The 21,609-nt window shown below is 36.7% G+C and overlaps 1 long non-coding RNA gene across 2 annotated transcripts in view; it reads left to right on the top strand.

Annotated features, from left to right (window-relative positions):
• The first annotated feature begins 21,484 nt into the window (after window positions 1–21,484).
• LOC105373710 (uncharacterized) overlaps window positions 21,485–21,609 on the top strand; it is an 87,864-nt gene continuing 87,739 nt past the window's right edge. For both annotated transcript variants that reach the window (XR_923510.3, XR_923509.3), the window contains exon 1: window positions 21,485–21,554. This is a non-coding gene — a long non-coding RNA (uncharacterized LOC105373710). The remainder of the gene's footprint in view (window positions 21,555–21,609) is intronic.

The following is a 21,609-nucleotide window of genomic DNA, read 5'->3' as shown; positions in this document are numbered from 1 at the left end:
TTAGTACTTTTTAAGTCGGCCTTGGTTCCAAGCTCTTCATGGATAGAGACCACTCTTTATTCATCCCCACATCCCCTTTATCTCAACATTTGGGAAAATAATTGAAATAATGTTTTTTGTAAATGTTTGTTGAATGCTGTGGACCCATCAAACTGTGATGCTCCATGAAACAATAAATATGGTAATTTAAAAGGACTTTGGTTACCTAGAGGTCAGCTCCTCCCACCTCAGAGTTCCCCTCTAGGTTCAGTTTAGCCAATATTGAAAGATTCACTAATACTTTCAGGCCACTTGTGTTGAAGGGAACATTTAGAAATGTTAGGACTCTTTTCAAAAATGCCTAGTGAAGAAGTAGGCTTTGTAATAACGAGCAGAATCACTGTTGACAAAAAGTAAAACAGAGCAAGTCAAAAGCCTCTTTGACCTATGGGATATTGGTGCAGTAATCCCATTTCCATGGTCAGTGTCCTTATGGGTAGATTTACTCACCCCTGGCCATTGGACTCATTCCGCTCATAGGTTTAAAATCTCCATGGTGGGCACTAATGCACCAGATTCACCTCTCACCGTTGTCTGCAGATTTCCTGGGTTTAAATTAGTGCATTCCTGCAGCTTTCAAGTTGAACTTTTAAAATAAGCAAATTGAGTAGTACTAAATTCACTTAATTCAGCTCCCTGTTTCACTCTAGGTCGGCCACACTCTAATTCATAATCATAGTTTGAGTGGTTGTTCTTACCCTGAGAGTTTAGTGGGACTTTGTTCGTCATTTAGAAAGCTTTGCCTGAATAAGGAAGCTCTTCACTGATTTAGGTTGATAATGGCTTAACATGCTCCTTTGGCCTCAGACAAATGAGTGGGTAGCACATAGCATACAACTATGTGCTATGCATGAATGGTAGGAAGAGGAGCTAAATTCTGCCTCAATTCCAGAAGCAACACCCTGTCTAGCCTAACTATATTTCACCATAGAAGGTATGTTCTACAATAGAAAATTACATATTCTTCTACCTCCCTTCTTCCCTTTCTCACTTCCTCTTTGCCTTCTTCCTTTCTTCTTCCTCTTCTTATAAGATATATGCTAAACCTATGTGTTTCTTCCCCATTTTGTCTTCTCTCATCCCTTCGTTCTAATTTTTCCAGTCATATTTTAGCCCCTGCCTCATCAACACTTCCTCCAATACCCCCTTCTCCCATTATTCCTTTGTTCTGTCTGCCTTAGGTACAGAGTGGGTTTTCTTCCTTCCAAATCCCTATTCTGCCAAAAAAAAAATTTTGCCTTAGGAATTAAGGGCACATAAACAAGATTATAAATTGGCTAGTGACATATCAATGTTCATACTTGCTTCCTCTGCTTTCTCTCAGGCTTTAAAGCTGTTTGCATGGCCATGAGACAGTTTTCAAAGCTAACTTGGACTTTCTTGTTTTTTACTTCCTCTCTCTCATGGGAATGTAAATCTTCATTGCTATAGAGCAACTGATTGTGACCTTATGTGTTAGCGGATCTGCTCCATGAGAACTAAAAATAGGCCTTAATCTTCTCAACATGTGAGGATCCAAAAGGGGCTCTTTGATTAATAGCTGCCTATGTGTAGTGGCATCAGTGTCCTTCTCTGAGCAGACTGGAGGTGGGGAAGGGTGCTGGCAAGAGAAGGCAGAGCTGCAGCATCACTGTTTGTCATGGATGACTTGTTTTGCCTCCAGAGTCCAGCTTTTTCCTGACTTCTGTGCTCCATTGAGAAGGCCACTTCTACAGGCAAAAACTGAAAAACACACCACCGTACCTAGGCTCTGTATTTTTTATGTGATTTGGAAATTCAATTCAATTTTTTCATTGCATACATCAGTTCTCACATGTTGTATACAGCTACATTTTACTGTATAACATAATTCTAAATAACCTAGTACTTAGTGGTGCTTCACTAATTAAACAAATTCCTTTTTCTCTCCCACAAAAGGACCTAAGCATCAGATTCTTTCTCTCTCTCTCTCTCTCTTTTTTTTTGGAAAATCACTGGTTGCCTTTGTAGAGGTGAATAAGATTCCAATTGCTGGTAGTTCTGATAGGCTCAACACCTGCCCATATTTGAAATCCACATTCAAATACACATTGGGTCAAACCTAACCAGATGTAGGTACACAGCCAAGTTATTGGATTTCTTGATAATGAACAGAAAGCAGACAATGCACCTGTCCGGTTGTAGAAAGGATTTGCATAAAAATGAAGAAATAGTATACATGCTTATGTAAAGTGTTGATTAACTGGATCACCTACATATATATGTAAGAAAAAAACAACTAACACAATACAGTTTTTCTAAGTAAAACCATAGACAGCATTACAAACACACACACACATTTGCCACACATTAGGAAAAGTGTTGATAGGCTGGGGCTATGCTAGATTGATTTGATTTTCTGGCATATTTATCCTCTGAAGAAGTGAAACACTGTTAATAAGCCAGTCAACTAGGTATTTGTGAGGGCGCTGATTATAATATGCTGTTGGCTATTTGATCCTTTGTGCTTAACATAGAAGGAGGGGGTGATAATTATGAAACAAACTACCGATAGAGACATGAGATACCCAAAAAGCAATGCATGAAGCCTCGGTCTATTTGTTCCTCTTCACTGCTTGGTTGAGAGTTTGATGGTGGAACCAATCGGAATTGAATTTAGTTGCTTCAGGTAGACCTCAATGTTGCTGTTGCCTCCATCAAAGGCAGAGGTTTTGGGAAAACAGGTCAATAGTGGACAGTGGGAAAAGTCCTTTCACTTGTTTCTGCTGCCACTGCTTGTATGGAAGGCATGTTTCTACTTTTCTCCCTGAGTGGCTTATCTGATTGCCAGTACAGATCCATTATCTGCTCTTCTCTGCCGTGTTCTGTATCTGGGATGCTGATATCCATAGATCTCATAAAGTTGCTTTGCTTTTTCCCTTCTATCTGGGTTTGAACTGTAGGAGACAATGGTGGGAAATTGGGAAAATAAGAGAAGAGGAAGTTTAGGGTATTTATTTCTCATTACCCTACTTCCTCCACTGTGGGATGTGGCTTCAATATTGACTGCATTCATCTGCATAATATCACAGTCTCCTTTTGGTAGCTCTTCTCCCATCATTATAGCTTTCAGTGGTTTGGGGGAAGACTGCATCCTATTCTTGACACTTCAGGCCTAAAGGTGGTAATAGTTTGGCACTCTTGCTGGTTTCTGGGTTCTTCATGGTTCTTTGTTAGTTCTCTTAACCATGACGACATCTCTGTAAATGGTTCTTTAATTCAGCCATTTTTAATTACTTCCTTTGAATGGGACCTTTTTTTTTTTCCTGCCAGTGTCCTGACTGATACATGGCCAAACACTTATGGTTGGGACTGAGACTCTGTCTTCCATCTTAGTAATGACTCCATGTAATGGTCAGTCCACTAAGATCATTTTACTCTCATAGGGGCTTCTCTTGGGACTTTATTAGTTTCCCCTGAACTTCAATTGTAGACTTCCTGTGCCACCCTGACTGTTTCAGTAGTTTTGAATTGAATTCAAGTGGGTTTTTGGGGGGCGTGGGGGGTCAGTCGCCTCTCTCCTTTACCTCTCAATTAATCCCTGTGCTTCTTATACAAATTGGTCCACCCCTTTCAACAACATTTAGGTTATATCAGTTATTTAGTGTGTTAAAAATAAAGACATTAGTTATTATAGAAACACAAATAAAAACTAAAATGAGATATCACTTCATAGCCAATAAAATAATTGTAGTCAGCAAGGTAAAATACAACAAGTATTGTCATGATATAGAGAAATTGGACTTTATGAGCTACTAATGAGAATGTAAAGTGGTACAGCCACTTTAAAAAACAGTGTGAAGTTCCTCAAAAGGTTAAATATAGATTTATTATATAACCCAGAAATCTCACTTCTAAGTATATACCTAGGTGAAATGAAAACCTATGTCCATATGAAAATCTATACACAAATATTTATACCAGCATTTTTTTATTATACTTTAAGTTCTAGGGTACATGTGCAAAGTGTGCAGGTTTGTTACATAGTTATACATGTGCCATGTTGGTTTGCTGCACTCATCAACTCGTCATTTACATTAGGTATTTCTTCTAATGCTATCCCTCCCCCAGCCCCCCACTCCCTGACAGGCCCCAGTGTGTGATGTTCCCCACCCTGTGTCCAAGTGTTCTCATTGTTCAATTACGACCTATGATGAGAACATGCAGTGTTTGGTTTCCTGTCCTTGTGATAGTTTGCTGAGAATGATGCTTTCCAGCTTCATCCACTTCCCTGCAAAGGACATGAACTCATCCTTTTTAATGGCTGCATAGTATTCCATGGTGTATATGTGCCACATTTTTTTCATCCAGTCTATCACTGATGGACATTTGGGTTGGTTCCAAGTCTTTGCTATTGTGAATAGTGCCCCAATAAGCATACATATGCATGTGTCTTTATAGTAGCATGATTTATAATCCTTTGGGTATATAGCCAGTAATGGGATTGCTGGGTCAAATGGTATTACTAGTTCTAGATCCTTGAGGAATTGTCACACTGTCATCTGCGATAGTTGAACTAATTTACAATCCCACCAACAGTGTAAAAGTGTTCCTATTTCTCCACATCCTCTCCAGCATCTGTTGTTTCCTGACTTTTTAATGATCGCCATTCTAACTGGCCTGAGGTAGCATCTCATTGTGGTTTTGATTTGCATTTCTCTGATGACCAGTTATGATGAGCATTTTTTCATGTGTCTGTTGGCTGCATAAATGTCTTCTTTTGAGAAGTGTCTGCTCATATCCTTTGCCCACTTTTTGATGGGGTTGTTTGTTTTTCTCTTATAAATTTGTTTAAGTTCTTTATAGATTCTGGATATTAGCCCTTTGTCAGATGGGTAGATTGCAAACATTTTCTCCCATTCTGCAGGTTGCCTGTTCACGCTGATGGTAGTTTCTTTTGCTGTGCAGAAGCTCTTTAGTTTAATTAAATCCCATTTGTCAATTTTGGCTTTTGTTGCCATTGCTTTTGGTGTTTTAGTCATGAAGTCTTTGCCCATGCCTATGTCCTGAATGGTATTGCCTAGGTTTTCTTCTAGGGTTTTTATGGTTTTAGATCTTACCTTTAAGTCTTTAATCCATCTTGAATTAATTTTTGTATAAGGAGTAAGGAAGGGATCCCATTTCAGCTTTCTACATATGGCTGGCCAGTTTTCCCAGCACCATTTATTAAATAGGGAATCCTTTCCCCATTTCTTGTTTTTCTCAGGTTTGTCAAAGACCAGATGGTTGTAGATGTGTGATGTTATTTCTGAGGGCTCTGTTCTGTTCCATTGGTCTATATCTCTGTTTTGGTACCAGTACCATGCTGTTTTGGTTACTGTAACCTTGTAGTATAGTTTGAAGTCAGGTAGCATGATGCCTCTGGCTTTGTTCTTTATGCTTAGGATTGTCTTTGCTATGAGGGCTCTTTTTTGGTTCCATATGAACTTTGAAGTAATTTTTTCCAATTCTGTGAAGAAAGTCATTGGTAGCTTGATGGGGTTGGCATTCAATCTGTAAATTACCATGGGCCATATGGCCATTTTCATGATATTGATTCTTCCTATCCATGAGAATGGAATGTTCTTCCATTTGTTTGTTTCCTCTTTTATTTCATTGAGCAGTGGTTGGTAGTTCTTCTTGAAGAGGTCCTTCACATCCCTTGTAAGTTGGATTCCTAGGTATTTTATTCTCTTTGTAGCAATTGTGAATGGGAGTTCACTCATGATTTGGCTCTCTATTTGTCTGTTAATGGTGTATAGAAATGCTTGTTATTTTTGCACATTGATTTTGTATTCTGAGACTTTGCTGAAGTTTGCTTATCAGCTTAAGGAGATTTGGGGCTGAAACAATGAGATTTTCTAGATATACAATCATGTGATCTGCAAACAGGGACAATTTGACTTCCTCTTTTCCTAATTGAATACCCTTTATTTCTTTCTCTTGCCTGATTGCCCTGGCCAGAACTTCCAACACTATGTTGAATAGGAGTGGTGAGAGAGGGCATCCTTGTCTCGTGCCAGTTTTCAAAGGAAATGCTTCCAGTTTTTGCCCATTCAGTATGATATTGGCTGTGGGTTTGTCATAAATAGCTCTTATTATTTTAAGATACATTCCATCAACACCTAGTTTATTGAGAGATGTTAGCATGAAAGGCTTTTGAATTTTGTCAAAGGCCTTTTCTGCATCTATTGAGATCATCATGTGGTTATTGTTGTTGGTTTTGTTTATGTGATGGATTACGTTTATTGATTTGCGTGTGTTGAACCAGCCTTGCATCCCAGGGATGAAGCCGACTTGATTGTGGTGGATAAGCTTTTTGATGTGCTGCTGGATTCAATTTGCCAGTATTTTATTGAGGATTTTTACATTGATGTTCATGCGGGATATTGGTCTAAAATTCTCTTTTCTTTTTGTTGTGTCTCTGCCAGGCTTTGGTATCAGGATGATGCTGGCCTCATAAAATGAGTTAGGGAGGAATCCCTCTTTTTCTATTGATTAGAATCATTTCAGAAGGAATGGTACCAGCCCCTCTTTCTACCTCTGGTAGAATTCGGCTGTGAATCTGTCTGTTCCTGGACTGTTTTTGGTTGGTAGGCTATTAATTATTGCCTCAATTTCAGAGCCTGTTATTGGTCTATTCAGAGATACAACTTCTTCCTGGTTTAGTGTTGGGAGGGTGTATGTGTCCAGGAATTTATCCATTTCTTCTAGATTTTCTAGTTTATTTGCGTAGAGGTGTTTATAGTATTCTCTGAAGGTAATTTGTATTTCTGTGGGATTGGTGGTGATATCCCCTTTATCATTTTTTATTGCATCCATTCGATTCTTCTTTCTTTTCTTCTTTATTTGTCTTGCTAGTGGTCTATCAATTTTGTTGGTGTTTTCAAAAAATCAGCTCCTGGATTCATTGACTTTTTTTGAAGAGTTTTTTGTGTCTCTGTCTACTTCAGTTTTGCTCTGATCTTAGTTATTTCTTGCCTTCTGCTAGCTTTTGAATTTGTTTGCTCTTCCTTCTCTAGTTCTTTTAATTGTGATGTTAGGGTGTCGATTTTAGATATTTCCTGCTTTCTCTTGTGGGCATTTAATGCTATAAATTTCTCTCTACACACTGCTTTAAATGTGTCTCAGAGATTCTGGTACGTTGTGTCTTTGTTTTCATTGGTTTCAAAGAACATCTTTATTTCCACCTTCATTTTGTTATTTATCCAGTAGTCATTCAGGAGCAGGTTGTTCAGTTTCTATGTAGTTGTGTATTTTTGAGTGAGTTCCAATTTGATTGCACTGTGGTCTGAGAGATAGTTTGTTGTGATTTCTGTTCTTTTATGTTCGCTGAGTAGTGCCTTACTTCCAATTATGTGGTCAATTTTAGAATACATGTGATGTTGTGCTGAGAAGAATGTATATTCTGTTGATTTGGGTTGGAAAGTTCTGTAGATGTCTATTAGATCTGCTTGGTGCAGGGCTGAGTTCAAGTCATGGATATCCTTGTTAACCTTCTGTCTCGTTGATCTGTCTAATATTGACAGTGGGGTGTTAAAGTATCCCTTTATTTGTGTGGGAGTCTAAGTCTCTTTGTAGGTCTCTAAGGACTTGCTTTATGAATCTGGGTGCTCCTGCATTGGGTGCACATATATTCAGGATAGTTAGCTCTTCTTGATGAATTGATCCGTTTACCATTACGTAATGGCCTTCTTTGTCTCTTTTGATCTTTGTTGGTTTAAAGTCTGTTTTATCAGAGACTAGGATTGCAACCCCCGCTTTTGCTTTTTTTGCTTTCCATTTGCTTAGTAGATCTTCCTCCATCCCTTTATTTTGAGCCTATATGTGTCTCTGCATGTGAGATGGGTCTCCTGAATACAGCACACTGATGGGTCTTCATTCTTTATCCAGTTTGCCAGTCTGTGTCTTTTAATTGGGGCATTTAGCCCATTTACATTTAAGGTTAATATTGTTATGTGTGAATTTAATCCTTTCATTATGATATTAGCTGGTTATTTTGCCCATTAATTGATGTAGTTTCTTCCTAGCATCGATGGTCTTTACAAGTTGGCATGTTTTTGCAGTGGCTATACCAGCATTATTTTAATAACCAAAAAGTAGAAACAAGTCTAATGCCCATCAGCTGATGAATGGATAAATAAAACATGCTATATCCATACAATGGAATATTGTTTTTCCATGAAAGGGAATAAATTACTAATACATGCTACAACATGGGTAAAACTTTGAAAACATTATGCTAAGTGAAGGAGGTCAGTCTCAAAGGTCACCTTTGTATGATGCCATTTTGATAAAATGTCCAGAATAGGCAAATCTGTAGAGACAGAAAGTAGATTAATGGTTACCTAGGTCTGATGGGAGAGAGGTTGGAGAAAAATGAAGAGTCATTGCTAATTGGTATATCGTGTTTCTCTCTGGGGTGATGAAAATACTTTAATATTGATAGTGATGATGGTTGTACAACTCTGTGAGTATACAAAAAACATTGAATTACACTCTTGAAAAGGGTAAATTATAGTATGTGAATTATGTCTCAGTTACAAAAATAGATAAATAAATACATATATAAATAGAAAAATAGATGAATAGAAAAATTAGACTTCGTATTATCTTACTACAGATATAACTGGTGAGAAGTAAAGTCATACTAGGCAGGAAAGACTATGAACTGTGGAGAGGAAGCATAAATATAAATGAGGTAAAGGTTCATGAGAAGGAAAGAAGAAAGAATGGAAAGAAAGGAAGGAAGGCAGTGGGAAGAGAGGGAGGAAGAAAAGACGAAGGAAAAAAGGAAGTGAAGGATGGAGGAAGAGAGGGAGGAAAGAAGGAAGGAAACACAAAATTAGAAAAGCAGATTAAAGACCCTGATTCTCCTGATACTCCTCCCAGGCATTTATGTCATTTTTTATCACATTGTCCTAGATCCTGCTATATATTTATTTTTCTCTTTTATACACCCTTAAATACAAATCACTACATAAAAATAGCTAAGGATTTATGAAAACAAAAAGGGTATGAATTTATAAAACAGTTATGAAAAACTAATCTAATAAAATATATGCCACCATGTAAATATGATCTATCCAAATCTTCCACTCCTTACATTGAAAAGCCTCAGAACCCTTGAATTATTACATTTTCTACCAAATGAAAGGGTGAAAAGCTGGAAAAAAATTGAACCAAGAAAGCTAAACAACTTCTGCAGTAATTTCATTCTTACTCAAAATAAAACTAGTGTTTACAACACAAGAGTTTTCCAGATGGCCATGCAAATGAAGGCTCAGGAACACACTACATACCATATTATTGTTGTTTAGTATTTATTGAGCACTCACAGCATGCAAGGCGCTGAAAAAATAAACTATTTCCCCAGTTATTCAAATTATAACCTAAAAGCATATAAAGTCATATTATCTATGTCTTCAGTGGGTTAATAATGCATGCAATGTCCCAAAGGTCAGGGCTCAATCATATTAATATTGTTTCCAGGAACATATCTCATTCAAATTAATCCGTTTTCTTTATTTCCTGTCTTTTCCAGGATATTTTTCCTGATGCATTTTTAATATTTTTATATCATAGTGTAATCATTGATATCAAAATTCCACCAATAAAGGTTTTTGCAATACGTAGCATTATGGATGACTAAGATTTTTTAGAACTTCATTTTTACTAAAATAATCCATTGTGATGATCCTTCTAAATCTACATCATTGACCTGGACCCTTCCTTGAAAAAGGGCTGGTTAACCAAGACACTAAAGATCTTAAGTGCAGTATTGCTAATTGAGAGAGCAACAATTTAAAAATTTTAATAACAAGAGTCTCTTGACTGAACTTAAAAGTGGAAAATTGTTTACAAAATTGACACACATTCCATTTTCATTTCTTAGCCTCAGGCTGATTCAGAGACTGACAGGAAACTTGTAAAAGGCCAGTTAGGAAGAACGAATCTTCATAGGCTTCTACAATACTATTCATTATAACAAGGAAAGACAATTACATGCTTTTACACCCATAACATACCTAAGCTGCCATGTACTGGAATTGTCTACATGGGTGCATATCTCTTAGAATTTGAGGCTTCCTTATAAGACATTGTGATGAATGCCTACATAGGTGAACTAAATTTTAGCCGAGCAGATTGTACAATGAGGATAAACAGAGAAAAAAAAGTTCCAAAATCAATTAAAAGATTAGCAAAGAAGACAAACCCAGATGCCAAAGTTTAACTCTTTATCTGTGATGTTATGCCTGTTCTATATTCTGACACCATACTTCCAAATCTGACATCTATAAGATGTGTTGGAATCAATAAAGCCACTATTCTTCTTTAAATTTTTAGCTTGATATTAAGTGATTTCTAATAGTAAAAGTGATTTTAACCAAGGCTTTCTTCAAGTGGATTCCCTTTGCTATTTTTCTTGAAACAGAAGTCAGGGACTCCCCATTATGATGGTTTTTCTTATCATAACTTTCTGATGATTGTTACTGTTAAAAATACACATTCTTCTAATTCCATGATCCTCTAATTACTCATTAGAGAAACTGATGGTCTAAGATAGCTACTGTTTTGGTGACATGCTGACAAGTGGTGACAGTAATAGACAATTTACAGCAAAATTTGCTTATATTTTCCTGGGCTTTCGGGCATATATTTATCCTATATTCTACATGTGTCTATCATATATCTTTGTATATGAACACTATATTTTTGGTAAGGGCTTCAGATTTTATTTTTTCAAATCTGAACCAAGAATCAACAAAACAGCAAGTGCTGGACTATCAGTAAATTGAACTGACAACATCCTTATATGAAGAGCAAGATTAAGAAGCTGCTCAACATTTAGCATTTAGCATGTTCTTCCTTAAGATCTCTGATTCTCTGATAGTACTTAATTACTTAGAAAAGGCACATTTCATCTCTAAAGCGACTTGCTTTTATTATTTTAATATATTAATGATGAAAAACTGCCTTAGTAACATAAAAGGCACAAGGAAAACTGTTTAGTTTCATATTTTCATATTAAAAATAATTTGAGTAATATTTGCAGTTTAGACTCCTCAGCTGCCCAAAAAGGTACCATTCCAGGGGAACATTCCATTTTGAGGGGGAAAGTAAACATTTACAGAAATGCTGAATACCCAGAATCTAGACACTTCCCTGGCCTGTTACTACTTGCTGCTTCTCCTTCCACATCACCGACTTGTTCCTTAATCACAGGTGAGGAGAGTACTATACAAATTGGAACTGATTGGAACTGTCCTCTGATATACAGTAGGCTCATGGTATTCAGAACATGAAAATATAAATAAAAGAAGAAATAAAAAAAGCAAAAGATAAGCAAGAAAGAGAAGGAGGAGGAGGAGAAAAAGGAGGAAAGGAAGGAAGAAGGGGGTGAGGAAAATTTATTAACACCAACTGGTATTTTCATGAACTTCTGGTGATCAGAAGAAAATCTTAAGACTTAATTCTTGTTAAAATATGTTATTGAATCAAGAACAAAGATTCTCTGTTGCATGTATGTTGCATGTGTAGCTGGAGCTTATTTTCTATTTTTCCTTTTAAGATAGGTTTTAAGATTTTCAGGATTTTAAGGTTCATGCCAACCTCTCCATTCTACCACTACTGTCTTTTTCCAGGATCGTTCCCACTTATATCTAGTAACTCTCTCCCTAGAATGTCATCTGCCCTCCCAGAATTCTCACCGAATTTTATTTGCTTATCAAGTCACAACTGAGGTGCCACCTCCTTCATAATCTTTCCTTGTTTACTTCTGCCATCACTGATTGTCAGAAGTCCTACAGCCTTAAAGCTTAAAATGCTTATAGATTCTCTACATAAATGAAGCAAAGAATTCCACATTGTTTCTGTCTGCAATAGCCTCTTGAGCAATACTCTTAGTTTTATAAACCACATGGAGTTATTGAGTGCCATCATCCTATTTTATACTTATTTTATATATGCGTTAATTCAGAGTACAGAGTAGACAATAAATAAGTGTCGACTAATTGTTTTACTAATAAACTTGTTCTGGACTTTCACCACCATAGGGTTCTTTGTCAACATAGAAATCAACATATGGAATTTTATTACTCTATTGCATATGTATCACTTATCCTGTTAATGTGGAAAAATAATAGATTAGAAGATCATCATTATTGTCCTCAATTCATTTTTTACATACAGAGACAGGGAAAAGGAAGAACAATATAAAACAATATAACCAAGGGCTAGAGTGTGGGTTCTGTAGGATATCAGCCTGATCCCCTTTCACCAAATAAAAAAATGTTGTGTAAAATTATGAAAGGTTATATTGTTTTACTTTTCTCTCCTTCTGTGAGTATGAGGATGGGCAAGGATTTTCACTTGCAACAGTGTATTATCTTGTTTTAACAGTAGCCCAAGGTAATTGAAATAAAGTGTTAACTCTTTTCTAATAATGATTATACTATTTATGTGCTACTATTATGTATCTGTAAAGGAGTTACATATGTCTCTTCTCTTCCAAAAGTAAATGTTCATGAAGACATGATGAAAATAAGGATTTTATTCCCTTTATATCAATGAGGTGGGGGCAGAGGTGTAGGGTAGGGGAAGAGTAGAATTCCCTATAGATAACATCATCACATCATCCCAAAATTTTGGTTCTTTATGAGGAAAGTGATTTTGAGGGAGAATCATTAACAAAGAAAGTAAGAGTTTGTTATTTCCAGAGAGCCTAGTAAGACAGGTGGAAAGATTATGATAACCATGTAATCCACCTACTAGCATAGCACAAATAGAAACTTTCTGTTACAGCTCAAGAATATAAATAGAAGTAAATGATGGCATTATTATATGGATAAATGAATTAGTCAATCACTGACAAAGCATACTCTGTAATCAAAATATTTTTCATGTTAAGATTAATTTCTTGTAATACAAGTCTAAATGTTACATAAACCTCTTTGACATTGAGTTATACTTCATAAGACAAAAAGGGCACTTCCAGCAGGCAAAGAATAGCAGATTGTCGGGAACAATTTGCTTGGATTTCAGGATGTGGGTGGCCACTAGCCAAAAATCTGGGAATGATTTGAATGTCAAAGTATAGATCTATAGTGTCTAATATGGTAGCCACTAGCCACACGTGGTTACTTAACAAAGCTGATAGTTGACAATGCTGGTAAAAGCCAGAATTAAATGAAAGGACCAAATTCCCTGGAAATAAAACAGTTAACATGGTGTAAGCATGAAACATATACCAGGTAGGTAGTATGAGTTAGGTGTTAGAAGCATTGAATATTGAACAGATATTTCTCCTCCTAGACATATAAATAATAATAGCACATATTGAATGTGTATGCATTGTTTCTAGGCTTTTGTATTCAACTAGAAAGCCACTCATCCTGAGAACCATGTTGACATAAAATTCCATCAAAGAAGAGCACATATTTAAAGTCAGTTGATCATACTCACCTTTTGGCAGGTCCACTCTAACCAGCCTCACTCTCTGACCAGCAGAATGTGTTTCTTCATCTACCAAGGCAAAGATGATAATTGACAAAATGGCCAAGGCCACTTTAAATTCAAAATGGAGTTAGGTGCCTGAATTAATACAGGATGGAGAAATTCATAAAAATAACTCTTTAATTTTACAATGATTTTAGGAGTTGATTTTCTATAAAAGAGTTGACATGAACCTGTTACAAACACCCATCTAGTTCATGCCAAAAGACAGCTGCAGTCCTTTCCAGATGGGAGCACTCTCACAGGGCACTTGCTGAGAATTCTTCAACACAAACATTGTTCTGTGGGTTTCTTGATCCATCTGCTAACTTCTATTTTGCATAGATTTTCCAGAACTGAAAACCTAGAAAAAGGATAAATTCCCCAAGATTCAAATTCAAATCAAAGTGTTTCAATAGAGGAACTCAGTCTTACACTTCAATGAGAGTAGATTTACCCTCTGGGAGAAGCTTGGCAAATACCCACAATCATAGTTCATTACCAGATGTGCAATTTTAAACTCTTTTATGAAGACAAGGCCATAAACTTACTCAAAGACAATGTCTCTTTACATGAACTAATGGTTCTCAGAAGTTTAAGAAATCCTAGATATGGAAATATCCTAGATATGGAAAACATGAGAGAACAAGTCTTTATTTTGTTTCTTATTCCCCACCTACATGCAGAATAGTGAACAAATAAGTACTATTAATAATTCTTAGGCTAGTCATGTGAAACTATAAAATTTTCACTTTGTGGTGAACAAGAGAAGGCATTTTACAGAGAACAGGACACAATTCACTATTTTTAGAGGCATTTACAAATTGTTTTCAAGCCTAATAACTATCATTGTCTTTCCTCTCCACCTGTGATCTCTGTGGGTAGTGCCCAAACTCACATTCTTCATGATTTGTCTGTTTTATTTCCAATTCATATGGACCCAATCACCAGGATAGGGGGCTGAAGGCACTTTCCCTTCTCTCTCATTTTATAAGCTGTTCACAAAATTAGTGAATTTTGGAGCTAGAAGAAATCTTACCATCCATCTAATCTACCCCCCCCCCACCACCCTTAGAGTGAACAAACTGTAAGGAAGAATGAACAGTCATACACCTGTCAGCTGGAGAAAGAACAAAACCTAGAATCCAAGTCTTCAAATTCTTAGTCAGCACTCTTTGACTTCTCCAAACCACATTCCTTGACTGGCTCTTACTACAGAGAAATAGGGAATCCCCACATTGTTCCATTTACATGGCATTACACATCTGGCATAACACATGTGGCATAATTTGGCCATAATGTACTCAATTAAAAAATAACTTGGAAGTTATCTTAATGTGAATTTTTACAATCCTAAGAAAAACAGCTAAGAGTGGTTATTTATACTTTCATATGGAAGGTGTTTTTTTTCTAATTCTAAGAAACGTCCATGGTAGCTTGATGGAGACAGCACTGAATCTATAAATTACTTTGGGCAGTATGGCCATTTTCACAATATTGATTTTTCCTATCCATGAGCATGGAATGTTTTCCCATTTGTTTGTGTCCTCTCTTATTTCCTTGAGCAGTGGTTTGTAGTTCTCCTTGAAGAGGTCCTTCACATCCCTTGTAAGTTGGATTCCTAGGTATTTTATTCTCTTTGTGGCACTTGTGAATGGGAGTTTACTCATGATTTGGCTGTCTGTTTCTCTATTATTGGTGTATAGGAATGCTTGTGATTTTTGCACATTGATTTTGTATCCTGAGACTTTGCTGAAGTTGCTTATCAGCTTAAGGAGATTTTGAGCTGAGAAGATGGGGTTTTCTAAATATATAATCATGTCATCTGCAAACAGAGACAATTTGACTTCCTATTTGAATACACTTTATTTCTTTCTCTTGCCTGATTTCCGTGGCCAGAACTTCCAATACTATGTTGAATAGGAGTGGTGAGAGAGGGCATCCTTGTCTTGTGCCAGTTTTCAGATGGAATGCTTGCAGCTTTTGCCCATTCAGTATGATATTGGCTGTGGGTTTGTCATAAATAGCTCTTATTATTTTTAGATTCGTTCCATCAGTACCTAGTTTATTGAGAGTTTTTAGCACAAAGGGGTGTTGAACTTTATTGGAGGCCTTTCCTGCATCGATTGAGATAATCATGTGGTTTTTGTCAAGGCAACTAAACAGGTGTTTGGGCCACAAGCCTTGCACTCTAGGGAATCCCCAAAGCTTGAGTTGACTTGCTTTTATTTGCATTTTCCTGTGAAGTGGATGCCTTTCTTTGGGGAGCAAATGATTCTGTGATGCCCAGATAGAAAGTTTGAAATGTGTCATAAGGATGCCTTCTTATTATGGCAGGATAAGGAGATAATGTTTACAGGCTTATGTGTCTGGGTATGAACAAGGTTAGAAGAGAAACAGAACTTTCCTATTATTTTGATGATATGACCAACATGGCTTATTTTCTCCCTTACCTAGTTTGTGCTATATAAAACCTTAATTCAATGTATTTCATTAAATTCATCTTTAAATAAAAATGATTAGTATGTTATTTCTCTGATATCTTTGGGCTAATCATATTAATGCCTTTGGTTTAAGAAGTGAAACATTTGAATTACAGTTGCTGGTGGATGGCACCAGCAACCATGTGGTTTTATAATGCAGAATTATGTAATGATAAAACATAGTCTGTTCAAAAGAGTACAAAGTTAAAAAGAAACTTTTATTGAAGGCTTTTAAATTGTATTACATGCATCTCCATTTAGCAGATTAAAAATGAAGGTTTAAAAAAGGTATGCAATTGCTCATTATTGAAAATAAAATGATATTATCAAAGGGGAAAAATAGACGTCTCTCTTACCTTCTGATGCTGTTGTCTTTGTAGTCTTGCAATAATAGGACCACTTGAATCATTGATAACTCAGAATATATGCATAATTAGACTTGAAATCATGTGGATTCTGTTAGAATTGCTTTCCAAATGTGGCATCTCCTCCTCTCCACCTTTACTATGCTCAATTATCATCAACATTAGCCTGAATGATGGCAAGAATCTTCTCACTTGTCTCTCTTTCTCTTCCAGGCAGTCTTGGTGACAATGTTACTTTCTCAAAAATAAGAAAACAAAGCAAAGCAAACTATGCCCATCATTGTCATTCTTCTCCTCAGTGACAAGCTTGTTGCATATGCACTTCTCTGTCTTTATCACATGCCATTCCCCTCGCATTGCCCCCATAAATCTTATCCTCCCCACCCCCACATTCTCACCCCTGTGTAAACACAGTGCTCCCTTTCAGAACTCCCCACACAATTGGTTCCTTCTGCCTGGAATGTCCTGTCAAGTCTCCCTCTCTATCTCAAATTTCATCATTTTGGTCCTAGTTTGAATATCAAGACTGTCCCTCGGTGGTCATTTCCACTCCTGGCAGAGGTAGCCACTCTTTCTCTTTAGATTTTAGGGTTACTTTTCCACATCTCTAAAAAAAACACCTGTCACATTTTGTTTTAATTCTATATTTAATTGTCTACTTCTCTGGCAGACTATTTTTTTGGGGTGAGGGGAATGGAGTCTTGCTCTGTCCCCCAGGCTGGAGTGCAGTGGCGTGATTTCTGCTTACTGCAACCTCCGGCTCCCTGGTTCAAGCGATTCTCATGTCTGGTAGACTCTTTAACAGACGCTTTCAAACTTTTTTAATGCAGCTATCATTAAAATGCATTTTTACATTGTGATCTGGAACACACACACACGTGCTCACATTTACACAGATACAGACTGAAACACAGCTCCGAGAAATAATATATTCCCTTATTATGAGTGGCATGCTTTAATATTTTCTACTCTGATCTGTTTTTGAAAAAAAAAATGGTGGTCACAACCTATTGTATTGATTTCACAGCTCAGTAATGGGCCACTACTATGGGACTGAAACCTCTCTCCTAGATGACAAACAATGGCCTCATTTTTACATCCCCAGTGCCTAGGAGTGGAAGGTACTCAATGTTTGTTAAATAGATGATTGTGCAAAGATAATATTGAAAATGTTTTTTAAACTTTTTTTTCCTCAGCCACAATACATATTACAATATTTCTTCTCCATCTTGAGTTTAACTTTGAGCTATCTCCCTGGGATTTTTTCGACTGCTTAGCAAGAGAGAAAAGAATAAAGTGTATATAGGTCATGTTTGCCGCCTGGAGGCTCTGTTAAAGACAAATCTGATGAGCAGAATGGGTCAAAGTTGTGATCTAAATAACTTTTAAACTTATTTAGTCACTTCATTGGTTATCACCCGCTTCCACGTGCAGCAAAATCAGAAATTGTGAGTATAAGCATTTTCTGTACAAATCATTTTAATTAGTTGATTTTGAACCTTAAGATGGCCCTATTAGAACAAAAATATTTTTTTAAATAAGAAAAAAAATCTTTCTAGCGAGTAGTTAATGCTTATTCTTAGTCCACCTACGTTTTTACATTTAGTTCGTTTCCTGTTTTTAGTTTTTGACTTTCAGTGTTTGACAGACTATAAGTTTTGTATTATAAATTTTATGGGCACAATCCAGACTCTGGGTTCTTAACAGACATTAATAATAACACTAGAAACATTTTTCTTGGTCCAATGGCAACCTTGCCAGTTTGTAACCAGGAATAAATAGAACACTCAGTTCATTCAGTCCATGCGCTCATTATGAAGCATACAGAGAATAAATCAGCCTTTTTCTTGGTGCTGATAGCTGAGTGGAAGTGGAAAGCTTGTGAAAAATCAGTTGTAACTAATTTATGGATTTAACTGTCAATTTATTGTTTTTTTATGATTATTTCTGTAGCATTATCTTTAGATAATAATAAAATGAAATGTGTGACTTTTTGAATTTTAGGTGACAATAAAATTAAGTTTATTAATATCACTTGTTAACATTTAGATTCAGAGATTCTCATGATTCAAGACACTCCCTCAATATCACACCTTTTGTAGGAGAAAGGGGAAATGAAACTGGATACAAAGCTGGTTCAAAATGATCAAAATTAACTATATGGCCTTAGTGAAATCTCTGATATTAATTCTACGGTTGTGGTTTTAAAATAATTTTTCTTCCTTTTTCTATTTTTTCCCCAGAATGCTCTCTCCTCAGTATACCAAAAACAAACAAACAAGCATTATTTGGAGTCCCATTTTTTAAAAAAGCAATATGAGTCGAGCTTTAGTAAGAGGGCTAAAAGGAGGCCCCTACCGATTTGGCCATACAAAAGGCCTGAATTCCTGGGGTTTCACCCAACACAGCCGTCAAATCACAATTCCAGAACACAGCAAGGTCAGGGAGTGTTGCAGAAAACTTCAGCAGTTCTTTCCAGAAACACATATTCAGGTCTTCTTCCTCCAGAGCTCCTGATTCTTTGAGTTTGGTGTGGCATTCAGGCATATGGATTTGCAATAGCTCCCAGGAGACTCTGGACCATCCCGTCTCTGGCTTCCTAGGACTGCTGGTCCTAAAAGGTTTCTTTAAGTACAGTCCTTGGGCCACCTGCGTCAGAATCACCTGAAAATTCAGAACCCTCTAGGCCCTCATCTAGACCTTCTGAATCAGAATCTCTGGGGAAATTCTGATGCATACTTGAGTTTGAGATTCAATGATTAAGAAGAATGTGGACAAATGCCTTTTCACGTCTTAGCACTAGGCTAAGCAATGAATCTTTTACAAAGAGAATCTGGTTAAACACAACATCAAAACTCCCAGGCACATTCATAGCACTTGCCATTGCTCTTCCATAACTCAGAAAGCACAAATGTCAGTCAAAATAAGCCTACTGGTCTTTGAAGAATGGGCCACTCTACAATTTCAGCCTTTGTCTCTGAGAATCGCTGGGAATGATTCTGATGGAGAAACCACAGCACTGTGATGGCGTATTGCCAGGACTTATGCAGAATCAAAATGCTGGGTACAATGGATACAAGAGGGGTCAATGGACTTTGTTTATTTTTCTCATTTTAGTCCCAGTTTCTACTTTAAAGCTGGAGGCTAATGGGAAGAATAATTCAGAAATTAATGGCCACCAAAAGGAGGAAGAGTGTAAAGAAATATTAAGGACAAGTTAAAAAGCTCCAAGATGGTTTATGTTTTTATGACTGTGAAAGTCATTATTTCTCAGACAAATTTCATTTATACTGACATCTCAATCACATCATTGTATTAACATCCACAGGTAAAGTTATCATCACTATCTTGTGATATAGCTTTATTTGGCAAATTTGGAAATAGAATGCTATATGACAATTTTATTGAACAACAGTGATAGCAGCAGTAGCCCCTTGGCAGAACCACCTTGTAGCTAAATGCATAGAATAGACTCTGTATCCAGACGGCCTGCAATTCAACTGTTGCTCTAGTACTTATTAGCTGTGTGACCCTGGGAAAGTTTCTTAACTTGTGTCTCAGATTTATCTGGTAACATGATGATGATGATGCTAAGGATACACTATCTACCTCATAGGGTTGTTAGGAAGAGTAAATTGGTTAATATTTATAACGAGTTTTGAATAGTGCACTAGATGCTGGGAAAATGTTAAATAAATAAATAATTATTTAAATATCATTTATATGATATATATAATATCAGTTAAATAATTAAAATCATATGAAAACCAGCCTTTTTTATGCACTAGACATGACCAAATGCTTTGCAAGCATCTCTTCATGTAAGTCTCCTCTCCACTTTTTGTAAACCAAAGCACAGACAGCTTATGAAACTTACCCATATTCCTACAGCTGGATGAACTCAGGAAAGCCAGTCAAAATCCAAATGATGTGGCATACAAATCTTTCATTTTTATAATGATTAAAATAGTTAAAATGCACAGTTTTGCTGGCAGAGTTCTGACCTGAATCTTCTGACGATTTAGGTATAATTAAGGTGAGCGAGCAGAAGGATGGAGAGAAGGAACAGAATACTGGGAAAAGAATGACTGAAGCAATTCTAGCACCTCCAATCTTGACTTTTTCCTATTTCCTATTAGATATATAGTCATTTTAGTGTTAATATTTTCCAGTGCATTTTAGTTTGTTTAAATATTATCATTATTTTTTATATTTATCTTTGTATATACACGTTAGAGTACGTTCAAGTGCTTGAGATTAGAGTTATAATTCCTTTTGGTTGTGTGTTTGTTACTTTTTCATGCAACAGTTTGGAAGACCCTGTATGACATCCTCACTGTCATTTACCTTTGGGGGAACAGTATTTGGTAGATCCCCTGCCTCCTCTGATTAGAGCCAATGGAGACCAGTCTTCCCAGAGGACAGCTCAACTGCATGTCATGTTGGAGGCTGAGGCAGGCAGATCACTTGAGGTCAGGAGTTCAAAACTAGCCTGGCCAACATGATGAAACCCCGTCTCTACTAAAAACACAAAAAATTAGCAGGGCATGATGGTATGTGCCTGTAATCCCAGCTACTTGGGAGGCTGAGGCAGGAGAATTGCTTGAACCTGGGAGGCGGAAGTTGCAGTGAGCTGAGATCACGCCACTGCACTCCAGCCTGGGTGACAGAGCAAGACTCCATCTCAAAAAAAAAAAAAAAAAAAAAAAAAAAAAAGAATTCAGTCCCACTCCAATATCTCACAAACTAGCTGTGTTCTCTTGAACAACCTTCAGGGAGAGGGCAGCCTTGGCTTCATTCAGAATCAAATGACATTATTTCCTCTTACCCAATATTAGTCATATGCTCATCCCCTTTTTTTATAGTAGATGAACAGCTCTGTTTGGATCTCCCTGAACTTCAAAAAGACCTTTGTATGCAGAGCTGTTGCAGAGAGGCAAATGATTATGGGATCATTTATTTATATTATTATGGCACAATAGAAGTCACTTTGGTCCTTGAATGTGTTCCAGTGACTCAAGATATTTTTTCCGATGTTTTCTGACCTCTGCTCCTTTTCAAATTCTCCCATCTCTGATAAATTAGCTTCAAAACCACAGAAAAACCACAGCTGTGTTTGTTCATCAGGGGCATGAAGAATGAAAGTAACTGTTTTCATGAGGAATCTTCAAAGGAGGTAAAATTAGTTTCCTGTTGTCTACATATAACCAGATACTAAGGGATTTCGGAAA

This window comes from Homo sapiens, chromosome 2, assembly GCF_000001405.40.
Source record: "Homo sapiens chromosome 2, GRCh38.p14 Primary Assembly".
NCBI classification, from domain to species: domain Eukaryota; kingdom Metazoa; phylum Chordata; class Mammalia; order Primates; family Hominidae; genus Homo; species Homo sapiens.
The sequence above is the reverse complement of the archived record's forward strand: the minus strand, read 5'-3'. Positions and strand labels throughout refer to the sequence as shown.